Here is a 27,775-nt window from a genome sequence, read left to right as displayed (position 1 = left end):
GTGCTTCACCAGTCCCCGTTGGTTCCCTTAACCCTGTCTACACCTTTGTAAATCACCTCTTCATTAAATGCTCTTCAGTTAAACCCTTAAAGTGTGCCAGGACCAGAAAGATATAATACTAATTTGTTCCAAAGAGATACCAAGCAAATGTTCACATTTATTAATACAGGTTATGTTTTTAAGAATGAACATAAAAACAGTGACATACTATTTTGTAAGTACATTAATGATATCATATTTTAATATATACAGACTAATAAACAATGACAGTAAATCTTCACTGATTTAGATAAAATGAATAGTCACTAAATTAATAAAACCAGTGCTAGCTTCTACTTACAATACAGTTATATTACTTTTATGTAAGTTATTCTATGGTATTTGGAAATAGTTTGCTCTTTTATTTTTTTATTTTTTATTTATTTTTATTTTTTGAGATGGAGTCTTGCTCTGTTGCCCAGGCTGGAGCACAGTGGCGCGATCTCGGCTCACTACAAGGTCCGCCTCCTGGGTTCACGCCAGTCTCCTGCCTCAGCCTCCCGAGTAGCTGGGACTACAGGTGCCTGCCACCACGCCCGGCTAATTTTTTTTGCATTTTTAGTAGAGACGGGTTTCACCGTGTTAGCCAGGATGGTCTCGATCTCCTGACCTCGTGATCCACCCGCCTCAGCCTCCCAAAGTGCTGGGATTACAGGCGTGAGCCACCGCGCCTGGCCTGCTCTTTTAAATAAACATTTGCCTTGCAACTTTCTATTTTGTTTAAAATGCTACCATTTTTTCGTAAGATAAGAGATATGTTTCAACCTAATTTCCAAATTACTTTGTGAATTCCATGAAGATTTTCTATACTTGATACTTAGGAGGTTAAAAAATGCTTTTAAAGTCTCATTAAGTCTTAAGTAAATGGAAATTATAGAATAATTTTCCTAGATTTCAATGTCAATTCTATTTTCTTCTGTTATTTCTAAGCAGACTGACATGATTGATTCTTAAAAGAAAACCTGATTTGAGCAATCTATTGAGCAAAACATTTGTAAATAAATAGTGCCCAATTAAATCAGACTTATTTTAAAAAATATATGTCCTGTACTGCATTGTTTTCATTAAGTTATAACCACAAGAAATAGTAACCCAAATGTTCAAACTTCTTTAGCTGACAGGCCTTGTTTGTGTGAAACATATTTATTACACATACATCACACTCTATGCATGATCTACTTTGCTCTTGAGGGCAGGTCTCTGTCTTATTCCACTCTGTACACTCAGCACCTATTGGAGTGGCCACAGCGCATAATGGGTGCTTCCATATCAGAACTGACATTTCAGAACAACTACTAGATGTGTTTACACCCAGTGGATGGGCATCCAGAAGTCCATGCCTTCTTTCGTTGTTTTTAAGATGGGTAGAGAAGTCTTTCATGGTCATTACCTCCTAGGATATCACATTCTGCTTTGCCAGTTTCTCATAAACATGATCAGTTCACAGCCAATCCCAGGAGGATGGAGCAAATGTAGTGGCCCCAGTCTCACTGCTGTGAGGCTCAGCAGGAAGGTTTCTGGCCAATCTGTGTCTGACATGGCCCTGGCATGTGTCTGCTGCCTGGAGTCCTCCATCGGGGGCGGACACATGCAGCTCTCAGGAATAGCCTACTCTGAAAGCCAGCCTACATTCACTAGAGGACTTATGCTCAGTTTTGGCTTATGTGTACAGTGTGTAAAATGTAAAAAATACTACCCATATCAAAACAGAGGCTTTTCATCTGTTTCCATAATTTTAGGAATTCAAACTTGGATATGTTTAAAATTGAAAACACTAGAACTTCTACGCACAGATAGTACTAAGTCTTACCTCTTAATAACTTAAACCTTGCCGTCAAACAATTTCAAAATACACTTATTTGCAAAAGTGGTACAAGCCCAAACTATGGAGTCTCTCACTGTTGATGAACACCATGAAATGTTCAGGGCTAAACTCTACCAACCTAGACTTTGCATATTAAATCAGGGAATCAGAGATTATTTTCATAATTGCTGGGGTGCGGGGAAAGAGTGTTTTAAAGTGCCTATTCTATACTGCACTGCAAATAATATATGTGTGTGCATACATCTACATATACACACATGTAAGTATGTATATGTCACCTAGCTATATCCAGAAGTGACATTCATTTATTACTGTAGCATTGGCAATATTCCCTTGGAATAACACCGTCATCTCGTCCTGTTATCTTTCTGGTAATTGACAAAAATACATGCTTGACAGCTCCCATAAAAAGCAGGTATGCAAGTCGTACATCTGTTGTTTTAGGAGGTGAATCAATAAAGTTTGGGTGGGGACTAATAGAATCCTCAGGTTATTCACTTTTATAAACTTTTCTTTTTAACCTCCCAGCAGTCCCTTTTCCTAAGTTAACAGCTTTTTGTATATGCTGTTATTCAGGTTACTAGAGCAGGTATCCATTTTACTTGCCATCAACTGCCCACTGCTGTTATAACTGCTGGGATCGGAACTTTCTTTGCAGCATAAGATACTGTAGACGTACCTCTGGCACTCAGAGGAAGCGTAATAGTAAATTAGGGGGTCGATGCAGCAGCTTATGCTGCTGACACAGACACAGAGGAGGTAGGCAAAGTAGGCAGCCTCTGTGGTGGAAGTGTGAGAAAGGAATGAGTAATGCGCAATCAGGAGGACGTTTGTGGGTCCGAAGCAAATGATGAAGATGCAGAAAACAGCAGCTGACAGGAACAAAGCCCGGGACTTCTTGCTGCGGTTGGCAACTGCGGAAGAGCTAAGACATCGAATGATAGACACATAACAGACCGTGGAAATGATCAGCGGCACAAAAAAGAAGACAGCAGAGAAGGCTGAGAAGTAGTAGGCATAGTAGCCTTCGAGCAGGGTTTCATTGAGCACATCATGACAGGTAGTGATGTTGAGCCCGGGCACCTGGATGGTTTGCTCCTTGAGGAGCAGAGGCACTACCCCTGCGATGGCCAAAGCCCAGATGGCCAGACAAGTGAAGGAAGCCCTTCCCAGAGTACGCCAGGAGAGGGACTGCATGGGATACACCACAGCCAGAAACCGGTCAATGCTTATGACTGTCATGAGCAAGATAGAGGCGTACATGTTACAGTAAAATGCTGCAGTGACGAAGCGACACAATTCAGACCCAAACTGCCAATCACTGCCGGAAAAGTAATAGCTGATCTTAAAGGGGAGCACAGACACAAACAGCACATCTGCCGTGGCCAGGTGCAGCATGTACACCACCGCCGGCTTCTTGACCTTCATTTTCAGGATGAACACAACGATGGCCATGATGTTTAGTGGGAGGCTGACTACAAACACTCCGGTGTACACAGATGGGACAAAGAGTGTCAGCCAGGAGCTGGTCAAATATCCGGAGGCATCTTCTGAGATGAATGCAGGAAGTTGTTTTTGAAGAGGACTGCTTTTATTGATGGAGACTAATCTGTATTCAGTTAACCCACTTTCATTTTTCTCCTCATCCTCCCAAAATGGTTCATATTTATCATTGGGGTTCCTGAGAAGAAATGACCGGGGATCTAAGGTGGCATTTGTTGCTTTTGATTCTGAAAAATAAAATTAAAAAAATTTTAAATGTAAAAAGTGAACGCATCAACAAGGCAAAAGCGACAAGCAGAGAGCATATTTTACTTTTGTTTATGTTTTCTTACTAGGAGAGTGGGTGGTAAAGAGCAGATAATGCACAAATAGACTTTATTAGAGAATAAGCCAACTCAAAATACTGTGAAACATTTGTCTTGATATAAGCAATACTTCCTAAACTCTGCCCCTCAAAGGGACAAAGGTGAATGATAGGTTTTCAGAGATCTACCCTGAAGACATTAGGAAAGGCTGAGTACTTGACATAAAGGGATCAATCATTGATTTCCACGCTAGCCACTGTCTATATAAACAAATCACTCCCAGCTTCCATGACTTCTCTTTCCTCCGCATACCTTCATGTGCACACTTTCTCCATTTAGTCTGCAGTCATCCCATGAAACCTGTCCCTTTTCAATGGAAAAATCCACATAGAAAGTTGAGGGGATTTAGGCTGGGCACAGTGGGTCACGTCTGTAATCCCAGCACTTTGGGAGTCCGAGGTGGGTGGATCACAAGGTCAGGAGTTCAAGACTAGCCTGGCCAAGATGGTGAAACCCCATCTCTACTAAAAACACAAAAATTAGCCAGGTGCGGTGGCATGCACCTGTAATCCCAGCTACTTGGGAGCCTGAGGCAGAAGAATCGCTTGAACCTGGGCAGCAGAGGTTGCAGTGAGCCAAGATCACACCACTGCACTCCAACCTGGGCGACAGAGTGAGACTCCGTCTCAAAAAATAAAAATAAATAGAAATTAAAAAAAAAAAAAAAGTAGAGGGGATTTCTTTTTCTTTCTTTTTTTTTCTGAGACACAGTCTCACTCTGTTGCCCAGGCTGGAGCACAGTGGCGCGATCTCGGCTCACCGCAACCTCCGCCTCCGGGGTTCAAGGAATTCTCCTGCCTCAGCCTCGTGAGTAGCTGGGATTACAGGCACGTGCCACCAGAGGGGATTTCTTAAAGGTTTTGGAGTTAGAGGCAAATTAATAATGGGATTCAGGACTCCCAATTCTACGGCCAATGTCCATGACAGTAGTTTTCCTCTACAGTCTTTAGTTTGCTTACACAGGAGAATGTAGAAATCTCTCACTATATCTGGGTCCAAACCACAATCCCTGGGGTTATCTCCTAACATAGTCACAAGGTACCCATCATCTCAGTCATTCTTCTACTTCTTTCCTGAGCAGGTCAGCAGAGCAGCCGATGTTCTTGGCCACTCATGCCAGACCAACCAAGGTTTTTGGAGTATCAACCAAAAATAGGTGAACACATGGAGGTTCCTGGAAGGTAGTGCCCAAGAGAGGGCATGGAAACTCTGTGCTCCTTCCCACAATCGCTGCCCTATGCATCTCTACCATGTGGCTGTTCATCTGTATCCTCTGTAATTTTCTTTATAACGAATGGATAAAAGTAAGTAAAGTGGTTCCCTGAGTTCTGTGAATCATGCTAGCAAATTAATCGAATCTGAGCAGGGGGCCTTAGGAACTCCCAATGTATAGTGTGGTCAGAAGTCTGGAGGCCCAGACTTATGACTGCCATTTGAAGTGGAAGGCAGCGTTGTGAAACTGAGCCCTTAATCTGTGGAATCTGACTCTATCTCCAGGTAGATAGATAGTGTCAGAATTGAGTTATATTAGAGGTAGATAGTGTCCAGAATTGAATTATATTCAAGGATACCCAGCTGGTGTCCACTGGAGAATCTGCAGGAGAATTGGTTGCTTGGTATGTGGAGAAACAAGCTCCAGACATACGGTGTCAGAAGGATTGAGTGAAGTGCTGGGTAAGAGAAAACAGTTTGGGGAAAATAGTTTGGTTTTTCCTATATAACAGCAGTGCCTATATAACATAAAAGGTGACTAAAACCCAGATAGAAAATCCGTAGTCTTTTTGGCCTACAGAACCAGAGGACAGAGTTCAGGGCAATCACAGTCACTGGAAAGTTAGGAGAGAATCCTGGAAAGGAAAAAGTCAGAGAGGGGGAGCCCTAAATTTCAGTATAACTTCTGTCCTAGGGTTTGGCTGACCCTTGAACTATGCATTTGTAGGAAAGATGAGAAGCACCTCTGCTAAAGATAAAAGAACTGAAGTGATATTTAAGCTTCTGCTCAAGAGAGAAAGAGTCTGCTGCTTGAGTAAAACCAAATTAATTGGCTGCTAAAGCAAAAACACCAACACTCTTTGAAGGAATATAACAAAATCCAGAGTCTTTTTTCCTGTAATTTATACAAGAAAATGGTTTATTGGACTTACAGTTCCACATGGCTGGGGAGGCCTCATAATCATAGCAGAAGGTAAGGAGGAGCAAGTCACATCTTACTTGGATGGCAGCGGGCAAAGAGAGAGCTTGTGCAGGGAAACTCCTGTTTTTAAAACCATCTGATCTTGAGAGACCCATTTTACTATCATGACAACAACACAGGAAAGACCCGTCTCCATGATTCAATCATCTCCTACTGGGTCCCTCCTACAACACATGGGAATTATGGGAGCTACAAGTTGAGATTTGGGTGGGGACATAGAGCCAAATCGTTATCACCAGATCCAACCAATATACACAAAAGTGATAAACTCTGGACGTCTTGTCCCCCTTCTCTCACACTATATACAACAACCAACTTAAATGGATTAATGGTTTACACATAAGACCTGAAACTGTAAAACTACTAGCAGAAAACATAGAGGAAAAGCTTCATGACATTGTCTGGGCAGTAATTTTTTATAATGACCATAAAAGCACAGGCAATAAAAGGAGAAGTAGACAACTGGGACTGTATCAAAGTAAAAAGCTTCTGCACAGCAAAGGAAACAATCAACAGTGAAGAGAAAATTTATGAAATGAAAGCAAATATTTGCAAACCATACGTCTGATAAAGGGTTAATATCCAAAATATATAAGGAACTCCTATAACTCAACAGCAAGATAACAAATCACCTGATTTAAAAATGGACAAAGGATCTGAATAGACATTTTTCAAAAGAAGACATACAAATGGCCAACAAGTATATGAAAAAATGCTCAACATCACTAATCAGGGAAATGAACATTAAAACCACAATGAGTTATCACTTCATACCTGTTAGAATGGATATTATCAAAAAGATGACAGATAACAAGTGTTGGTGAGGATACGGGGAAAGGAAGCCCATCTATACTGATGGTGGGAATTTAAATTGGCATAGCCATTACGAAAAACAGTATGAAGGTTCCTCTAAAACTAAAAATAGAACTATTATATAATACAGCAATTCCACTGCTGGGCATACATCCAAAGGAAATAAAATTAGGATGCTGGCTGGGCACGGTGGCTCACGCCTGTAATCCCAGCACTTTGGGAGGCCAAGGTGGGTGGATCACCTGAGGTCAGGAGTTTGAGACCAGCCTGGCCAACATGGCAAAACCCTGTCTCTACTAAAATTACAAAAATTAGCCAGGCTTGGTAGCGCATACCTATAATCCCAGCTCCTCGGGAGGCTGAGGCAGGAGAATTGCTTGAACGCAGGAGGCGGAGGTTGCAGTGAGCTGAGATTGCGCCATTGCACTCCAGCCTGGCCGACAGAGCGAGACCCCATCTCAAAAAAAAAAAAAAAAAAAAAAAGACCAGGATGTCAATAGCTGCAATCTCATGTTCATTGCAGAATTATTTATAATAGCCCAGTTATGGAATCAAACTAGGTATCCACTGATGAATGAATGAATGAATAAAAAATATGATGTATATACACAGTGGAATACTATTCAGCCTTAAAAAAGAAGGAAATTCTGTCATTTGCAACAACATGGATGAGCCGAGAGGGCATAATGTTAAGTGAAATATGGCAGGCACCGAAAGACAAATATAGCATGATTTCACTTATATGTGGAATCGAAAACAGTTGAACTCATGGAAGCAGAGAAGAGAATGGTGGTTAGTAGAGGCTGGGGTTGGATGGGTGGGTAGGGTAGACTGGGGAGACATTGGTCAAAGGGTACAAAATTTCTGTTAAAAGGAATTAGTTAGAAAAATCTCTTGTATAATACGGTGACTATAGTTAATAACAATGTGTTGTATACTTGACAATTGCTAAGAGAGTAGACTTTAAGTGGTCTCACCACAAAAAATGATAAGTATTTGAGGTAATACATGTTATAAGTTTGATTTAGCCATCTCACAAGTTATGCATATTTCAAAACATTATGTTATACACTATAAATATATATAATTTTTTGTCAAATAAAAGAAAAAGGGGGCTGCCAGGTGTGGTGGCTCACACCTGTAATCTCAACACTTTGGGAAGCCCAGGTGGGAGGACAAGTTGAGCCTGGGAGATCGAGGCTACAGTGAGGTATCATCACACCATTGTACTCCAGCCTGGGCAACAGAGTGAGACTCTGTCTCTAAAAAAAAAAAAAAAAAAGTGACCCAGTCTTAAGTAAAAAGACAGTGAGCGGAAACCAACCTCAAGTTGACCCAGATGTTGGAATTAGCAGATAAGGATTTTGAAGAATGTATTACAACCATGTGCAAAAAAAAAAAAAAAGAAAAATATTTTATAGAAATGAACTGAAAATAGGAAATATCAGCAAAGAACTACCAAGTGGAAATTCTAGAAATAGAAAATAAAATACAATATGTTGGCATCTATTTCCAAAATGAAGAGCAAAGCTAGAGTAGTACCAACTCAGAGACAGCAGAGCAGAGCCTGGTAGTGTAGGGTTGAGGTCAAGCTACCTAAGCAAAGTTGGGAGAGGGTCTCCAGACAATGAAGGGGTGGCCTGGCAGGAGATCTGTCACAGGGAAGGAATGAATGTCTCCAGTGATGAATGTGAATACACACTTGTGTCTACATTGATCCTTAAGGGTAAGAACTGTTCCTGTTAATCTCTGAACCTCCAGTACCCTGTGCCCTGCATGTGGTAGGCACATATTTGTATTCTAATATTGACTCTGTTCAGGGATCACTTAACTTCTCTGAATTAAGCTCAGAATCATTAAAATGGAATTCTAATTCCTGTCTGGCCTACAAATCTGGCAACTGGAGCATCCCGTGTGAAACAGGACATACATTCACTTTGGAAACCATAACGATTAAGCAGTTTAAGAAATTACTATTATCCTTCCTCTCCCACTTCCATGTAGTGTGCTTTTATACCCAATTGTTTGCTCACTTAATTAAGTTAAAAGGAAATCTAGGTTCATCTTCCCTCCTACTTAGCAATGTTTATAGTTTTTTAGTACAATGAGGGAATGAACAAGTTGTATATTATATAGCTCTAGGGTTCAGAGCTATAAATCAAATTTTGAATTCACAATCTTTTCTGGAAGTATCACTCTCTTACCTTTGCAATGCATGTAACTTACTCTGTGTTCACCTTGCCCCAGTCACACAGAAGCCTGACCTTGGTACCAACAGACCCTGTGGATGTGAGGCTGTTCTCAAGATCACAATGAGTGTGTGGGTGCTGAAAGAAAAGAATGAATGGCTTCTGGCACTTAAACATTTTTTTTTATTTTTAATTTTTTTTGTTTGTGGTTCTGGCACTTTAATATCACAAAAACATGCATATGCAAAAATGCTGATCTAGAGGAACCAATTTTTTTTTGAGATGGAGTCTTGCTCTGTCACCCAAGCTGGAGAGCAGTGGTGCGATTTTGGCTCACTGCAACCTCTGCCTCCCCAGTTCAAGCAATCCTCCTGCCTCAGCCTCCCAAGTAGCTGGGATTACAAGCACGCACCGCCATGCCCAGCTAATTTTTTTTTTTTTTTGAGACAGAGTCTCGCTCTTTCGCCCAGGCCGGACTGCAGTGGCGCTATCTCTATCTCGGCTCACTGCTAACTCCACCTCCCGGGTTCACGCCATTCTCTTGCCTCAGCCTCCCTAGTAGCTGGGACTACAGGTGCCTGCCACCGCGCCCGGCTAATTTTTTGTATTTTTAGAAGAAATGGGGTTTCACCGTGTTAGCCAGGATGGTCTCTATCTTCTGACCTCGTGATCCACCCACCTCGGCCTCCCAAAGTGCTAGGATTACAGGTGTGAGCCACCGCGCCCGGCTGCCCAGCTAATTTTTGTATTTTTAGTAGAGATGGGGTTTCACCATGCTTGCCAGCTAGTCTCATGCTCCTGGCCTCAAGTGATCCACCCACCTCAGCCTCCCAAAGTGCTGGGATTACAGGCATAAGCCACTGCACCTGGCCAAGGAACCTTAAAATAATGCAATTCTCCTCTGCAGTTTTGGAAGCCTGGCCAGATTATGGGCTTTTGTGATGCACAGAGGGGAAAAAGTGGACATGAACATGCATACTTACATACATGAATCAAGATGACACCTGAGAGACTGACACAATGTGAAAACTAATAAATACAACTAAGCTCTTCAGATACTATCACTTAGTCTGAAAATAAAACTGTCACTAGACTTTACTCTGTATTTAGTACTTAGGCAGTAAGTACTTGTTTTAAAAAACATCTTCTCTGGGTAGGCCTCAGGCAGACGGTACTTCCGACAGGAACATTATACTTGTGGAAACATGAAATTTTTATAGGCTAGAGCTCAGGAAGAATGTATAATCCCTTGGTTAAATATCGCTGCCTAAGGTGTTACCTTTTCTTGATACTATGGGTTTGATATTCTGGTTTTTGTGAAATTAAAGAATGTCGGAAAAAAAAAGAAAAGAAAAAATGTAGTATATACCAGCATCAAAGAAAGGACAAAACCAATGCAAGGTGACTAGACAATTCCAACTAGCTCAAGACCCTTAGGCTGAAATTTGAGTTTAAGTATCTCGCTTTTCCTCCAGTCCTAGCACAACTCAGGTCAAGGAGAAAGTGCTTGTGAAGGTGCCCAAATCTCTTATCATTCATCTCTGTTTTTTTTTTTGGTTAAGCTATGGTTTCACAAAAAAGGCAGCAGAGGTCCTGAATTCAGTTCTCATACGATTTGCTAAGTTTCACTTAATTTAGGCTCTTCTAAATTGCTCTAGAGTAGTTTTGTTATCGAATACAGCAAATTATTAAATAGTTTAAATACGGACTCTTTAACTGTGGCGATTTTTAAAAATTAGTGAGTTAGGCAACACGTTTTCTGACTGTGATGAGATCTGTCCTGGAAGCAGAGGGGTGACTAGAGGATCTCTGAATGTCGCATTTGATCCTGGGATTTATACCACACCAGCATTCCATGACACACATGGTTTTGACTCACAGTTCTGCCCTTCGGGGCTCATGCTTTTTCAGAGTTAACAAAGCAGAAGTCCCAGGACTTTGCTCACATTCCCACACAGAGCACAAGAGTTGAAACAACACTACAGGCTAAAGAGAAATGAAGAGGAGGACAGGAAAATAACAGAATCACACTAACTCTGTCAAGTGGAAAACACCAGCATTACTGGAATGTTTTACTCCCTCAGATTCAAACAAACACCATTTTCCAATGAAAAGAACTGGGGCTTCTTAAAGAAATGACTAGTTCCAGATCTGGGGTAGGAAATACACAAGATGAACATTGAACATCTTCAAAGAATATCAGGGTTAGGTCAAAAAGACGCTGGAGTCAATCTCAAAGGGCTCCCACTGACCAAAGATGTGACATGTTGATCACCAATTTGACCATCAAAAGAATAATGATGGAAATGAATTGAAACATTTCATACATGTTAAGATCCATGAGTTGAAGACGCAGTCAGCCAGATCCAGTATGTAGAAAAGACAGATGGCTTAGTTTCTTTGACAAATAAGAACTAAGACAGATGGCTTAGTTTCTTTGACAAATAAATAGCAATAAAAAAGGGGTGGGGGGGCAGTTACAGATTAAAATGTAATGGTGGACCTTGTTTGAACCTGATTCAAACAAACCAACTGTTAAAAGGTATTTATGAGACAATAAGGTAAATATGAACACTGACTGATTATCAGATGATATTAAGGAATTGTTAGGCCGGGCACGGTGGCTCACGCCTGTAATGCCAGCACTTCGGGAAGCCGAGGCAGGAGGACTGATTGAACCCAGGAGTTCCAGACCAGCCTGGGCAATGCAGCAAAATCCTATGTCTATTAAAATAAATACAAAAATTAGCTGGTCGTGGTGGTGTGTGCCTGTAGTCCCAGCTACTTTGGAGTCTGAGGCAGGAGGATTGCTTGAGCCCAGGAGGTTGAGACTGTGGATGAGCCATGATTGTGCTACTGAACTCCAGCCTTAGCAACAGAGTAAGAATGTGTCTCAAAACAAACAAACAAACAAAAAAACAGAAGGAAATGTTCATTTTTTAGGTATTATAATTGTATTGTGGTTATGTGGAAAAAAGAGTTCTAATCTCTAAGGATGCTTACTGATGTTTTTATGAATGACATAATATGATATCTGGGATTTGCTTTAAAATTATACAGTTGGGAGAGGAGGAAACTTGAGGGTTTAGATAAAACAAGATTGGTGACATGTAAATAATGTTGAAGCTGGATGATGGGTATGGGGAGTAACTATACTGTTCATTTTTGGGTATGTTTGAAAAATCCCATAATAAAAGTTAAAAAAACAAACAAATACTGTATGCATGTTTATTTGCCACTAGAAGTTAAGGGCAAGGGTTTTTGCTTTTTTCTTTTGTCCTAGTTCTGAAGGGGAAAATGTTCTTGCATGCTTGTGTGAAGATTGTCTTATATTTAGATAATTTATTTGGTATCAACTCTTCAAAAGCTTTTCTGGAATATGGAAGCATTGGTGTATGAAAAAACCTTACCATCTTTTTGAGCACCTACTATGTGCCAGATACTTCACTTGCCTTAGTTCATATAATTCTAACATTTCTATGACATGAGCATTATAACTACCATTTTATAAATGACAACATGGAGGCACAGAGAGGCTAAGTAACTAATCCAAAGTCACACAGCTATGAAGTAGAGGAGCCAGGGTTTGAACCTAGGTCTGCCCAGCTCCAAAGGTCATACCTTTTGACCACTCCACGCTATTCTCTCCTTAAAAACTTGTGATTCATGACCTACTTCTAAAAGAGTACCATCTTTTTCTCTTTGCATGTCACCAAACAAATGAATCTGCCCATCCTTTTAGCTACAGTAGGCAGTATGTGGACATGTGAATGGCTAGCTTAACGTGATGATGCCCAAAGCTTGGGAATTCTGGAGTCCTACTGACTTTGGCTGCACACCAACCACACATGCCAACAACTTGGTCCTTACACACAGGAGAGAGATAGCAGGGAGATATTCAAGGACAAAACAGAAAAATACATCTTTAAAACACTGTTCTAGATGGAGCAGATGCAAGAGCAGTAAGTGAACAAAAATCTCTGCTACAGAAAAAGCAGAATTAAAGACAAAATTCTTTTTTTTTTTTTTGATACAGAGTCTCACTCTGTCTCCCAGGCTGGAGTGCAGTGGCACGATCTTGGCTTGCTGCAACCTCTGCCTCCTGGGTTCAAGAGATTCTCCTGCCTCAGCCTCCTGAGTAGCTGGGATGACAGTTGTGCACCACCATGCCCGGCTAATTTTTGTATTTTTAGTAGAGACAGGGTTTCACCATGTTGGCCAAGCTGGTCTCCAACTCCTGACCTTAAGTGATCTGCGCCTCAGCCTCCCAAAGTGCTGGGATTACAGGCATGAGCCACCGTGCCCAACCTAAAGGTAGAATTCTTGACTGACTGGGGTTCAGAAGAAGCTGCCAATATCAGAGGCCTCCTCTCCTCCCATTCCATGTCCTGGAGCAGGTACTCCTCTGGAAGCATAGGAAAGCAAGCCTAAGAGGAAGCTGGGAGAAGGGAAGTTGCAGGAAAGTAAACGCAGGTGTACCCAACGCCACAGCAGGCATGAAGACTACATAAGGAAAGTGTGTGGGCTCTTGCTTGGAGCAGCCTGGAGGCCAGAGCCTGACGTGGGGTGAGGATGCTAGCAGGCCTTGCCCGGGAACTACTCAGGTTCCCCGGCTTTCCCCATTTCTCCAGGTCTGTTCTCCAAGAAAAGTTACAGGTCCTGAGCTCTCTGTCTTGGGAATGCTGATCTCTACTCTCCAACAAGACATCTAGCTAAAATGAAAACTAATTCACAGTCAAGGATGTCAATGATCACCAATTCCTCCCCAGGGCTGGGGATGGGGACAGCTTTGTATTGTACAAAATACTGTGAGTTGTACTATAAAAACTGTCCCCATGCCCAACCCTGCCCAAGTCCTTCTGCAGTCTGTATATCTGAACTCAAATAAATTAGGTTCTAGACATGATAAGAACAATAATAAACAACAGTTCCAGGAAAACAGAACTCTTCCTGAAAAGCTAATAAGGCCTTTGATTTGGCTACCATAGGAATATTCATGTAGCTGCTGCAATATGTTTTAAATTATGTTATAGATTTAGCAATGGCTATGAAATCAATTCACAAGATTGCAATAAGCATTAAAAATAGAATATAGTGTGGAAAATATCAAAATGCATACAATGCAGTAAAGGTGAGCACTGTTTGTGGAAAATATCAAAATGCATACAATGCAGTAAAGGTGAGCACTGTTTGGTAAAACTTTTGTTTCATGTTTACATATATACTATGATTGTCCACACATATTTATTGAAAACACACATCCCTACCATATCAGAATGTGAAGTGTTGTTTCTACAGTTCTTACTGTTGGTTACGAAAGAGGAAAATACTGTACTGGTAAACACTATTCTACAATACCATAATACCTGATTTTTAATTCATCATAGACTTGAAATATAAATAGATTACATAATGTCTTTTCCTAAAGTTATATAAATGTGTTTTCAAGGGCAAATTGCAGATTACTCCTGTTGTTTCAAAAGGCCACTTACTTTTGAAAGCAAATAATGTATATAGGACCGTCAGGGCCCTTTAAGTGGCTTCCTCCAAGTACCACGACAAGGTCAGTGTGGGAGACGGTATCTGGGGAAGTGAAAGCTCATGCCCAGAAAAAAATTCTCAGTATATAGACAGAGCTATTTATGACGACAGTTTTAGGCACAAGCAAGAGAAAGAAAAAGGCAGAATGAAAGAAATCGCAAAAAAGGAAACAAACAGAAAATTATGAATGGTAAAACTATGGAGTCCTCAACACTAGTATCATAGTCAAAAATAAACCAAGGCCCTGAGTCCTAATAACTCTTCTAACAAGGATGTTTTTGTGAGTATCCGCAATGGAAGGGGAGCCTAGGTGCTCACGAAAACTAGTTAAAGACTGGGCATGGTGGCTCACGCCTAGAATTCCAGCACTTTGGGAGGCCAAGGTAGGTGGATCGCTTGATCCCAGGAGTTTGAGAACAGCCTGGGCAGTGTGATAAAATCTCGTCTCTACTAAAAATACAAAAATTAGCCAGGCGTGGTGGCAGGTGCCTGTAGCCCAGCTACTCTGGAGGCTGAGTTAGGAGGATAGCTTGAGCCTGGGAGGCAGAGGTTGCAGTGAGCCAAATTTGTGCCTCTGCACTCCAGCCTGAGTAAGACACCTAGACCCTGTCTCAAAAAAACAGCAACAACAACTTTAACCCACCTAAAGTTAAGTTCCCCAGACACTAAGACCACATATTATATGATTCTATTGATATGAAATATCAAAAATAGGTAAATCCATAGAGAAAAAAGGCAAACTGGTGGTTCCTGGGGGTAGGGGAAGGGAGAATGGGATCTGACTGCTTACTGGTTTCCTTTCGGGGAAATGACAGGATTTTGGAAGTAGGTAGGGGTTTACAGTGTACATTGTACACTGTAAATGTACTAAATACCAATGAATTGTATACTTTAAAATGGTTAATTTTATGTTATGTGAATTCTACCTCAATTTTATTATTTTATTTTTTAAATTTAAATGATTAATTTAAATTTAAAATTTTCATTTATTAAATATTTTGAAGACAGCGTCTCTCCCACTCTGTTGCCCAGGCTGGAGTGTAGTCACGTGACCATGGCTCACTGCCACCTTGAACTCCTGGGTCAGGCCATCCTCCCAGTCTCCCAAGTGCTGGGACTACAGGTGCACACCACAGTGCCTGGCTACTTTTTAATTATTTTTTTTAATAGAGATGGGGTCTTACTATGTTGCCTAGGCTGGTCTCAAGCGATCATCTGGCCTAGGGTTCCCAAAGTGCTGGGATTACAGGTGTGAGCCACTGCACCCAGACCCTGAGAACCTGCTATGCTGGTATGTTCTATAAAAATAAAGGCAAAGCCACTAAAAATTATTAGATATAGATAGATAGATAGATAGTAGGGCAGAAAATTACTTGCTGACTCATAAGAAATCTGACTTTCAGGCTTTATAGAGCTTTCTGGTCTGCTTACGGTAGAACCACTGCTCAGTTTTCTGTCTTTCTGTTTAGGTTTACTAGCAATATCTCTTGTAACATCTGATTAATTAGTGTATTCATGAGCAGGGATCTTTTCAGAGCCTGCCTTATCATCTGTTAGCGAAAGTAAATGAGAGAATACCACAGTCCGTGCATAAATGCTCACTAAATACCTCCCTGTGCTGGGCCTGAGCTACCAAGGCGATAGGGCACAGACTTTGCTTCTATATTTTGATGAATTATCAAAAATAGGTAAATCCATACTGTACTAGGGAGCACAGTGGGGTTACTTCTCTACTGTAAGAGGTGCTGGGAGTCTAGATGGCTTCCTTTCTATAGGGGGTGTTAGAGAAAGCCTGCACTTCGGAGAGACAGGCCTGTGGTCAACTCCCAATTCCACCTCTTTTTTTTTTTGAGAGAGAGTCTCACTCTGTTGCTCAGACTGGAGTGCAGTGGCACAATCTCAGTTCCCTGCAACCTCTGCCTTCCAGGTTCAGGCAATTCTGGTGCCTCAGCCTCCCAAGTAGCTGTGACTACAGGTGTGCACCACCATACCCAGCTAATTTTGTATTTTTAGTAGAGACAGGGTTTCACCATGTTGGTCAGGCTGGTCTCAAACTCCTGGCCTCAAGTGATCCCCCTGCTTTGGCCTCCCAAAGTGCTGGGATTACAGGCATGAGCCACCGCACCCAGTCCCAATTCCACCTCTTTCTCAACTTGTGACTTAACCATTCTGGGTCTCTGTTTTATAACCAGTAAAATGAGGATGACATCTACTCAAAGGGCTGTTGTGAGAAATAAATAAGATAGTATTGTAACGTCCCTAAGAAGGATGTCAGCTGTAGTCAGTACTCCACAGAGGGTAGCTGTTTTTAATTAAACATGAACGTGGCGGGTATGGGATATGGGGAGGGCATTCTGGCCAGAGGGAGTGGCATGCGGACAGAAGCCAGAGAAAGCATAGCTCCTTGAAGGGAGGATCTAGAGGATGGGGCTGGGTGAACTGGAGGGTGAGTAATAGGAGATGGCTGGAGAGGGGCTGGGGACCCTCCTGCAAGGGGAGGAGCACTTCATTCCATGCCAGAGAATTGGGCTTGACTCTGTGAGTAGGAGGGTAGCAAGTGGAATTGCCCACCAAGTTCTCTCTGTCATAGTCACCACCAGCTATTCTTGAACACTTTAACCCTCTAGAGCCCCATAAAATTTATAAACATCACCTTTTACTCTTGGATGTTGGCCCTTTTAATGATCACATATCATCTCACTTAAATTGTCTAGACGAATGTAAACTGGTTGATGAATTTACACATTTCTCAACAACTATCTGCTGAGTGAACATTTGTTTTAGTCACCATGGGGATAAATAAAACTTTATAATCTTAGTTGGGAGAATGAGACACACACACAAAGTGACAAGGCAGGAAATGCCAAAATGAGTGGGAACAAAAAGTCGGGAAGTGCTGGAGGAAGGCTCAGCTTGGTGGTCAGGGCCAGCCCTGGGAGGGCTTCACCGCCCCTCTTGGCACACAGAGCTGGTAATCCTGGACAATAAACTCTATCACAGCGGTGGCGGTTCAAGGATGGGAGGCACTGTTGGATGCCTCAGAGTCCCAGCACCACTACCTTATGACAGACAATGCTTAGAATTGTCAATGCATGGTGGTAATAGAAAGTAAACCTATCTTGGGTTGATTTTATTAGTGATTTTAAATTTTCTAAAGACAAAGCCCCACTTATTCCTAATTGCTTGCACCCAGGGTGGGTGGACTGCCCCTTCCCTGCCCCACCCGCCACCACTTGCTTAGCCGCTGTCTCTGGGTCTTAGTTGCAGAATCAGCAAAAGGGGATAAATACCCACCTTAACAAGGTGTTTTGACAAGGTGAAATGAGACAATCCAAGTGAAAATTCCTTCTGGCCCAGGGCTTGACATGGAATATGGCACTTAGCAAGCGCTCCTTTTCCTCTATCATACTCCTTTCTTCTTTCCCTCCCAAAGTGGTTCCAGAATCCAGTGTTGATAAACTAGCCAAGTTCATCCACCTGCCTTTCTGTCTACACCAGCACTGTCCATATTAACATGCACCACTCCTGCCATGAGGATGTAAGAAGCTTGGCAGAAACCAGTACGCTTTGACTTCACTCCCTAATGAGGCTACACACCTTGCTGGGAGGCCACTGTGAGAAAGGGTGCAGCATTTCTATAAGCTCTGTTCTCCACCCCATGATCCAAATCTCAAACAAAACACTGGATTCTCAAGAGCGTGTCCTCAAACTACATTGTGCAAATTACATAATGGTATGTGAAATCATATCTCATCGCAAACAATTTTTCAGGAGTTCTCGGTGTTCTCTCAAACACTTTCGGCAACAATGCTCACTTATCTGCAGGCAGGCTAGTTACTGCTAAACACTGGGCCCCAGTCTGGAGCTCTTAGTTTTCCCAAAAGCATCTCAAAACTCACCCTGAACAAAGACAGAGAGGCGAGAACATGCTATGTCTTTGTCACCTCTTAATCTTGATGTGTCTACACTTTTTTTTGAGTGTGGGAGCAATATAGAGTGCACATTCTTTTAGCGATAACAAGAAAACCCGCTAGAACTTCTTTCAGCGTAAAAAAAATGGCTCAAAGCTTATAAAATACTATTGTTATTAGGAAATTCAAAAACACTTTTCTCACTTTCTAATTAGCGCCTTTACAGGCTAAAAACAACTCATCTGTGCTGCTCTTGGGGAAAGGGATACAGAAAATATTTGACCAAATAAATTAATCAAATTTATTTATTTGGTCAAGTGGCCAGATACTTAAAAATAGACTACTAGTGGGGAAAATATTCTAGGGGAGCAACCTTCTTGCAGTGGATCAGAAATCTCGTTAAGAAATACTGGGATCCCACAGTGTTCGAGGGAGCCCGGTCCTGGGGAGGGATCTCTCTCTTCAACTCACTTAGAAGGAATGGGTTCTAGGTAACAACAAAATCCTCTCCATGTCCCCTCCCCCGCCACCACGCGGAGCCTCTGCTATTGTCACCATATATCTCGCACCCTGCGCACCTCCTGGACACAAGGCCGGGCCGGGGGCTGCTGGTACTGATTCTCTGCTAAACATGCCAAGGGACTGCCTGGGCTTTTCTCTACATCACTTTTCTCGCCTGTAAAATGTGCAAGAAAAAAACTTCCAACAAAGCAAAACTTCAGCGGCAGCGGTTCGCCACTTTATATTTTAAAGATCGAAACGTTTATTGGTGGAGCAACGTGAGAGCTTTTCTTTTTGGGGGTGGTCCTGGGAGAAACACAATGACAAGTGCAACGCAGGACTGCAGGCTCCCCCAGGGGGCTTCCGCTCCATCCTCCTCCATATCCAACACCCCGTGGCAGGCGGGCTGCACCCTCCAAGATCGAGTCCAAAGGGGCATCGGCTGGGCCCGCGAAGGGGGTGGCACGCCCCACCTAAACGTGACTGGAAAAAACTCCAGATCTCAGCCCAAATGCCAGTTTGGCTTTCGGAGGAAACTGAGGCAGGGGTGAGGAGAAGGCGCAACAGTGACCCCCGCAGTCTCCCCTCGGCGTCCCTCCGCCCGCGCACCCCATTCCCGTGCATCTCTCACCTGGCCTGCGGGCCCGGGTGCGGGCAGACAACAGCGGGCCGCACAGACTGAAGCAGGCGGCCACCAGCAGCAGCCGCCGCGGCCCCATTGTCCCGGGCTCTGCGCGGCGCTGCTCCGGGAGGCTGCCCCGCCTCGGGCTGCTCCGCTTCACCCTCTCTCCTGACTTCTGCGGGTCGGGGAGCCGGTCTTCGCGGCAGGCAGAGCGCAGGGTGCCCACGGGTAAGATCAGGGTCCAAGCGACCCTCGGCGAGCGCTGTGTCTGGGGCGGTTAGCGGGGCGGGGCGGGACTGGGGCGCGCGGTCGCGCGGGCGCGAGCGAGGAAGGGCGCCCTCCGGCGTGCAGTGAGAGTCTCTGCGCTGGAGCCGCTCGGCGCCCCCTCCCCGCGGTCCCTCAGCCGCCGCTCGCAAGCCCCTCTGGCTCTGTGCGCCCCGCCCCGCCCCGCCCTGCCCTACTGGGGGGCCCTGGCCGCCGGCCACTGCCGGGCCTAGAAGTCCAAATGAGAAGTTTTTTCCTCTGGGCACCGTTGATTCGCGAAGCTGTCAGTGACTCACACTGGCGGGGTCCTTGGAATGGGGCCGCACGGCTCGCAGGCTGCTTCCCGCGGCCGTCTCGACCCTCCTGGGATGTGGAGACGTCGACAGTGGACGCCCCGGCCAGGATGCGTCCACGCCCTGCAGCCCCGCAGCCCTGGCGTGGCCTCCCGTCCTCCCTCCCTCCGTGTGGGACACCGGCAAAGTTCAGTTTTCGCTAAAAGTCTAAAAGGGACTTCTGCTTTTGTAACGTGGGGATCACGGATTTAAAAGTTTATGATGTAGTGACAGGGTTGCCCCTAAATGAGAAAGGGCCCTTGAGTCTGGACAGAATTCTTGAACTTTTATACGTCTCTCTTTATTTCGCGAAGTTAGGCGTTTCATACGCCGGGCACTCGTTTCCCCCACACGCAGACTGCGAGTGGAATAGGAAGAGCGGCTTCTCCCGCTTCCCCCCCGCGCGGCCTCGCGGAGCTCTTCCCTTTCCCGCGCCGCCCGCCGGGGTCACCTGCGCATCTGGGAGGAGGGCGCGCGTCTGCCGGTGAGGCCGGCGTTCTAGGGCCGCGGGCGCCCAGGAGAGAAATGGCCTGGTAACTTTCCAAGTGTCCTTCACACGTTCTTGAACGATATTACAGTTTGTTTTGTTTTTGAGGCAGGGTCTTGCCCTGTCGCCCAGGCTGGAGTGCAGTGGCGCCAACACGGCTCACTGCAGCCTCGATCTCCCTGGCTCAGGCCACCCTTTCGCCCCAGCCTCCGGATTACCTGGGACCACAGAAAGGCGCGCGCCACCATGTCCGGCTAATTTCACTGCTGGCCTCAAGCGATCCTCCTGCCTCAGCCTCCTAAAGTGCGGGGATTACAGGCGTGAATCACCGCGCCAGGCCTGATATTAAAGGAGTTTGGCTAAATTCAAGGCACAGGGCGGGGACACTCGCTTGGCAGTCTGCTAAGGGCCCCCAGGGGCGTCGCGGCTGGGGGTGGGCAGGAGGAGCCTGCAGCTTAAGTTGCTTTGCCACTGGCTCTGGTGCGTGCGCCTTTCAGACTCCAACAGGAAATGGGTCCCCAAATAGCTGTTTCTAGGAAAGCTCAGCCGCAGCCCCTTCTCCTCTTAACCCAGCGCACTGATGTGCGGGCATATTCGGAGTTCTGTGGTTGATAAGCTGCAGCTGAGAGCCGGTGGTCAGTTTTCTAAGCCTTTTTTAAAAGTGAATTTCGCACGAAGAGTATCATTCCCCCACTAGAGCCCGGACACTTACATCCGTGGAGAAAGTACGATCAGAGGCGATTTCGTTCTTCCCTGTATTCTCCCATCATCCTCAAAGGACAGTACCTTGTTGTACACAGAAGTTGATCACTAAATTGCGGAAGTACCCAGTTAAATAAAGCTTTTTAAAATCTATCCCCGTTCAGTTATCCTCTGGAAACATACCCAAGAGTAAATGTGAACAGTTAAAATTACATAGTTCTTCATTCACTATTAAACTATTTTTCATTATTCCTAAGACGTCATTGATTTTACAATTTATCATTTTAACCCATTACCACAAGCCAGAAAAAAATGTGACATACCAATGATTGTAAGAAACACTCCAATTTCAGGGTTATGAAGAAAAGGCATTTTAGAATCAATGAAACACAGTGGAAAATATAAACACATATGACAAAATTTCTGATAGTTGAAGGATATGAAATGAAAAATAAATTACCTTCTGCCTCCCCTCCCCTAGTTGCCATCTGACCACTAAGTTTCCCCTCCTTCCTTCCTTCCTTCCTTCCTTCCTTCCTTCCTTCCTTCCTCCCTCCCTCTCTTCCTTCCTTCCTTCCTCTCTTCCTTCCTTCCTCTCTCTCTCTCTCTGTCTTTCTTATTTTCTTTCTTTCTTTTTTTTCCTGAGGCGGAGTTTCACTCTTGTTGCCCAGGCTGGAGTGCAATGGCGCGGACTCGGCTCACAGCAACCTCCGTCTCCTGGGTTCAAGCGATTCTCCTGCCTCAGCCTCCCGAGTACTTGGGATTACAGGCGCCTACCACCGCGCCTGGCTAATTTTTTGTATTTTTAGTAGAGACTGGGTTTCACCATATTGGCCAGGTTGGCCTCAAACTCCTGAACTCAGGTGATCCACCCGCCTTAGCCTCCCAAAGTGCTGGGATTACAGGCATGAGCCACCGCATCCAGCTACCTGACCACTAAGTTTCTGTTCACCATTCAAAAAATCATATCCACATACAAATTGCATATATGTATATCCTTAAAATAAGAATGGAATAATACCACCACATTTTAAAATTTTATCTGTGTCATTGGTGGAAAATGTTATTTTTAACCATTTTACAAAACGATAAAGCTTAAAAGGATGCTTTGGGGTCTTAGTTGTTAGAACAAAATGTACCTCTAGTGACAAAAAGACGTACAATGAAGGCTGGGTGCAGTGGCTCACACCTGTAATCCCAGCACTTTGAGAAACTGAGGCGGTCAAATCACTTGAGGTCAGGAGTTAGAGACCAGCCTGGCCAGCATAGAGAAACTCCGTCTCTACTAAAAATACAAAAATTAGCCGGGCTTGGTGGTGTGCACCTGTAATCCCAGTTACTTGGGAGGCTGACGCAGGAGAATCACTTGAACCTGGGAGGCAGAGTTTGCTGTGAGCCAAAATTGCACCACTGCACTCCAGTCTGGGCAACAGAGCAAGACTCTGTCTCAAAAAAACAAAAACAAAAGCAAAAAAAAAAAAAAAAACAAAAATAATGAAATGCTTAAATGCTTTGTGCATATTGACTAAAGGATTCCTTCTAGGAATATTTCTGCCAGTTGTATTTTTTGAGGCTTGTTTGGTACATGTTTATCTAATTCTTTTTAAATAGTATACTATTCCCTTGTATACATATAATAAATTTTAGTCTTCTAAAACTATTTTATCTGTAGTGTTGTCCCCATTTATATTCCTAACATAGCTAATTTTTTGCTTTTTTCCCTTTATCTGACCAGAGGTCAGAAATGACTATTTTCTAATGCCCGTCTTTTTGCTCCGTTACTTTTATTTTTATTTATAAACACAGATTTTTAATTCATTCTTTTCCTCTACTTTCTTTGAGTTTACTCTTTAGCATAATTTTTTTTTTTTTTTTTTTTGAGACGGAGTCTCGCTGTATCGCCCAGGCTGGAGTGCAGTGGCGCGATCTCGGCTCACTGCAACCTCCGCCTCCTGGGTTTACGCCATTCTACTGCCTCAGCCTCCTGAGTAGCTGGGACTACAGGCGCCTGCCACCACGCCCGGCTAATTTTTCTGTATTTTTAGTAGAGACGGGGTTTCACCGTGTTAGCCAGGTTGGTCTCGATCTCCTGACCTCATGATCCGCCCGCCATGGCCTCCCGAAGTGCTGGGATTACAGGCGTGAGCCACCGCGCCCGGCCTCTTTAGTATAATTTTTTGAACTGATTATTTTTTACCTCTTCTCCTTCAAAAGACCACATCAGCTACATTTTGCAAGTTTTGATATGTGCATATATAAAATTCAGGTCTAAATATTTTGTCAATTTCATTCAATCTTCAACCATAAATTCTTGGATATTTTGACTGGCTTTTTGTGACTGATTTCTAATTTTATGGTCTGTTAGTGATGTTGTTTTTTGTTTTGTCCTTAGACTTCACAAAGTTCCTATGTTTATGTGCTCTTAAGAGCTTTTTTTTTTTTTTTTTTGAGACGGAGTTTTGCACTTGTTGCCCAGGCTGGAGTGCAACGGCCGGATCTTGGCTCACCACAACCTCCGCCTCCTGGGTTGGAGCGATTCTCCTGCCTCAGCCTCCCAAGTAGCTGGGATTCAGGCATGTGCCACCATGCCCGGCTAATTTTTGTATTTTTTTTAGTAGAGACTGGGTTTCTCCATGTTGGTCAGGCTGATCTCGAACTCCCGACTGCCGAGACCAGCTCGGTGGTGGAGACCCTAACCTAGCGGTGCTAGAGGAATTAAAGACACACACACAGAAATATAGATTGTGGAGTGGGAAATCAGGGATCTCACAGCCTTCAGAGCTGAGAGCCTCGAACAGAGATTTACCCACATATTTATTGACAGCAAGCCAGTCATAACATTTACTAAAAGTATTACTTATGGGAAATAAAGGGATGGGCCAAAACAAAGGGATGGCTCTTGCTAGTTATCTGCAGCAGGAACATGTCCAGGCACAGATCACTCATGCTACTGTTTGTGGTTTAAGAATGCCTTAAGCGGTTTTCTGCCCTGGGTGGGCCAGGTGTTCCTTGCGCTCATTCCAGTAAACCCACAGCCTTCCAGCGTGAGCGTCATGGCCATCACGAACATGTCACAGTGCTGCAGAGATTTTGTTTATGGCCAGTTTTTGGGCCAGTTTATGGCCAGATTTGGCGCCCTGTTCCTAAAACCCGACCTCAGGTGATCTGCCCGCCTTGGCCTCCCAAAGTGCTGGGATTACAGGCGTGAGCCACCGTACCCGGCCTCTTAAGAGCTTTTTGAAGAAGATAACCCACTACTTCATTTGTTCCACGCCACTCCTACCAAAACCCCTTTGTCAGTTTTAAAGCAAACATCTGTAGGTTTCTGAGAGTAGAAAATCTACTTAACCAGAGATGATAAACATGTTGAAAATCTGCCTAACCAGAGTTGCTAAAAATATTTCTTGGAAATGAAATCTTGACTTTGCAGCATCATTCATATTGGAACCACTTGATATTAGTTTCCGGTTTTCATTTTCTCTGTTTTAACTTGCCTGGTACCAAATAGTATGAGTCATTAGCCATCCTCCCATAATGTTTATGGTATTTAGTAGTGTTTTCAAACAAATGTGGCATCAACGTGGTAAACATTTTAATAACTAGATGATACGAAAGCAGTTTCATGTAAGCCATCAGATGATCTACCTGCTTCAGGTATTCTGGTTACCACTCTTCTATTTGAAGTGTTCCAAAGACAATAGTATATTCTAAGAACTTGCATAGTAATTTCCTTTTGGAAGCTAAATGATGGGGATACCAGAGCTCATATGAAAGTATTCAAAGTAGGTTGAGGCACTACCAGATTCTGTGTATATATTGCCACATTTTTTTTAAAGCAAACAGAAGGTTTGTAATCAGGTTACAAGCCAACCAACAGATGACCTGTTTCTGTCTTTCGCTGTTATAAACCCGTACTGTCAGCTTAGATTTGGAAGTTTATCTCTCATAATGGATCAACAACTATATTTCTACCATCGATAGAATGGTAGGCTATCCCTATGACTTAGGGTGCTAAACAAAGGTCAAATTCAGTATCTATTAAAAGACGACAAAAACCAAAAACTTTCATTCCAGTTAAGTAAGGTGAACACATTATCTCCTAGTTCTCCCTCTTCATTGATTTCCCTTTCAATATATTTTAGCTAAAAGATTTTATACTCTAAGGAAAACAGTGAGGCAACATAGTAAATCTGTATAAGATATTTTATTTGGAGATTGAGTTGAGAGGCTATTCATTTTTAGGCTGAGATAATAAGTAAAAGCCCCATTCATCCAAGTGCCAACCTGAAGTAATAGTGGACTCCTGAGGGGCAGTGGGGGTGGTAGGGTCTGTCTGCTTTTCATTCCATTGCTAGAACCCCTGTCTGCACCTGCCATTTATTTACAAAGCATTGCCAGGCTCCGGATTTAGAGTGACTGAAACACAGATTCTGTCCTCTGGAGCTTAGGGGGCCTCTGTTGTAACCTGTTACCAAGTTTGGTTTTAGTAACATTGGCAATAGATTTTTCAAAAAGCTAACCAGCAATAAGAACATCCAGTGCTCACTATAATTTTTCAAAATAAAGACAACTTTCACCATTCAGAGTTTTGTGGTTTGCCTCTTGGAATGTTTGAGGAATACCACAAATCCCTACTTAATGACAAAGTCATAAAAATCACATCATGAATAGCATTTCTAATTTGTGCCCAACCACACACAAACACTAACGTATAATTATAGTTGAGATCATTCATATCAGACAACGGTCACACCAAGCTGGTCTTTCTTCACCACTAACTTTCAGAATAAAGCATACACATATTTTCCTTCTCCTGAAGACCACTAAAGCATATCCTTTGAGAGCACCTATAGTGTTGCATAAGTACTTTTTGCTTTTAAGATCAAAATAATCAAAATAATCAAAATACAGGAGTCAGTTTTGCAAAAATAAGTTATAGTTCCAATTGCTCAGTGTTTAAAAGCAAAAAAGCAAGCAAACAAAAAACCCAAACAACAAAAAACCTTTTCCATTGAGTAAGAAAAATCTATGGGCTCTGGGAGGAAGTTGGAGTCCTTAGTGGCTCAGGCTCAGGGTTATCAAGAATTGTCCTCTGGCTTGAGGGACAGTTTAGTCCTCTTAAAGAGTAGCACAGGACTTGGCTCCAACAAATCTCTGTAAACTGAAGTCTGCTACACCCAGGCCCCGATGGCCCTTGGTTTTGTTCCTTCATCATGAGCCTTCTTCTCAGGTCACCCATTCATACCGCTTAAAGATCTCACACAAATAGCAATTGGTGATGTCTTCAACAATAACCTCATCTTGTGGGCCAACAGAGAAATCATTCACAGCGTTCCTTGAAGGTATTGACATGATGCAAATATCTTTATTCGTACAAATAACATTCAAGCATATCATTCAGTGTTGCAATAAGTTAAGATAAGCTCCTTTCAGAGATGCTGGGAAAGGCTGGCTTTTGCCTCCAAAACATTGCTCCCTAATTTTGGCTCCTTCTATACATTTCCACTAAAAGCCTTGCCCGGAGCAAGAAGGAAGCTTACCCTGCCCACCCCTCATTGCCCCTGGCTCCTGTTCCCCTTTCCAATGCTAGCAGTAGGGCAAGAGGGAGGTTTATTTTCAACGTGAAACTTAACTGTATATTTAATTCCTTCTACCAAAGCCTGCATTAAGGCTAATGCATTACAAAACATACATACCCGCAAACTGTTGAGATAGTGAGCATTGTTTTAAGCTATTCATCTCTTTGTCAAAAAAATATACATAGCCTGAAACCATCACTAAAGTAGCAGATTTTACTTTTTTTAATTTGAATTTTCCAAATTCTGTTGGTCTTACCCTTCAAGTTTATTTGTGCCACATGTACATAAACTAACCTACTTTCTCAATATTTTGCAATTTGTGAAAAAATAAAGCCTGTTGCAGGCATGAACAAAGTGGCAGGGAGGTTCCAGCCTGAGAGTCTGGAATCCTTTTGTGGTGAAGACTCCTAAACTGTCAGCAGGAATCACACTCCTTTTCTTCCTTTTAATAACAGACCCAATTCCCTCTCTACCTCTCTGTATTCACTGGCTACATGGCTGCCTAGTTAGGGACTATCTTTAGCTAGCTGTGTCCACATGACTCAGTTTTGGCCAATACAATGTAAGTGGAAGTTAAAGTGATGCGTATAACTGAAAAGGCTTGCCCTGGACTTCTTCGTCATCCTCTTCCTCATCTGGCTGGGGGGAATCAGTACAAGGACAGAGCCAACTGACCCACCTGGAAACTCTTTACCTTGTGGATCTGCTCACCGTTGAGCTGAATTTGAGAAAAACAAACTTCTACCCCTTGTTTTAGACACCAGGGTTTTGTATCTTTTCCTTACAGCAGCTTGCTCTCTACTTTAACCAGTACAGCAAGAAATGTATTCTCTCCTAACAAACCCGACCAAGAATCTTCCCCTACCCACTAAATGACTTTGATTTATTAAGACAACTTAAAAGCCAAA

The 27,775-nt window shown here is 43.2% G+C and overlaps 1 protein-coding gene and 1 long non-coding RNA gene across 3 annotated transcripts, besides 4 other annotated features; both read right to left on the bottom strand.

Annotated features, from left to right (window-relative positions):
• On the bottom strand, nucleotides 138-19,782 carry F2R (coagulation factor II thrombin receptor). 2 transcript variants are annotated; one of them, NM_001311313.2, is made up of 3 exons: nucleotides 19,513-19,782; nucleotides 7,075-7,196; nucleotides 138-3,594 (listed from the first exon to the last, which is right to left on the bottom strand). In NM_001311313.2, the coding sequence occupies exon 3, from the start codon at nucleotides 3,317-3,319 to the stop codon at nucleotides 2,405-2,407; it is 915 nt and encodes a 304-aa protein (NP_001298242.1). In that variant the 5' UTR covers nucleotides 3,320-3,594; nucleotides 7,075-7,196; nucleotides 19,513-19,782; the 3' UTR covers nucleotides 138-2,404. The 2 variants fall into 2 exon arrangements, with proteins under 2 accessions (NP_001298242.1, NP_001983.2); NM_001992.5 differs by lacking the exon at nucleotides 7,075-7,196.
• Nucleotides 2,552-2,601: a silencer, noted in NCBI's record as "silent region_16107". NCBI's record gives its function as "represses an Ori minimal core promoter by ATAC-STARR-seq in GM12878 lymphoblastoid cells {active_cell/tissue: GM12878}" and the evidence as "EXISTENCE:reporter gene assay evidence [ECO:0000049][PMID:35858748]".
• Nucleotides 16,932-17,432: an enhancer, noted in NCBI's record as "H3K4me1 hESC enhancer chr5:76014301-76014801 (GRCh37/hg19 assembly coordinates)". NCBI's record gives its function as "activates a minimal SCP1, AML or CMV promoter by ChIP-STARR-seq in naive H9 embryonic stem cells {active_cell/tissue: H9 hESC(naive)}" and the evidence as "EXISTENCE:reporter gene assay evidence [ECO:0000049][PMID:30033119]".
• Nucleotides 17,433-17,933: an enhancer, noted in NCBI's record as "H3K4me1 hESC enhancer chr5:76013800-76014300 (GRCh37/hg19 assembly coordinates)". NCBI's record gives its function as "activates a minimal SCP1, AML or CMV promoter by ChIP-STARR-seq in naive H9 embryonic stem cells {active_cell/tissue: H9 hESC(naive)}" and the evidence as "EXISTENCE:reporter gene assay evidence [ECO:0000049][PMID:30033119]".
• Nucleotides 19,727-19,976: a silencer, noted in NCBI's record as "silent region_16106". NCBI's record gives its function as "represses an Ori minimal core promoter by ATAC-STARR-seq in GM12878 lymphoblastoid cells {active_cell/tissue: GM12878}" and the evidence as "EXISTENCE:reporter gene assay evidence [ECO:0000049][PMID:35858748]".
• On the bottom strand, nucleotides 23,020-23,505 carry NCRUPAR (non-protein coding RNA, upstream of F2R/PAR1). The gene has a single exon (NR_028375.2). It is a non-coding gene; the product is annotated as a non-protein coding RNA, upstream of F2R/PAR1 (long non-coding RNA).

The sequence above is a fragment of the Homo sapiens genome, chromosome 5 (assembly GCF_000001405.40).
Source record: "Homo sapiens chromosome 5, GRCh38.p14 Primary Assembly".
NCBI classification, from domain to species: domain Eukaryota; kingdom Metazoa; phylum Chordata; class Mammalia; order Primates; family Hominidae; genus Homo; species Homo sapiens.
The sequence above is the reverse complement of the archived record's forward strand: the minus strand, read 5'-3'. Positions and strand labels throughout refer to the sequence as shown.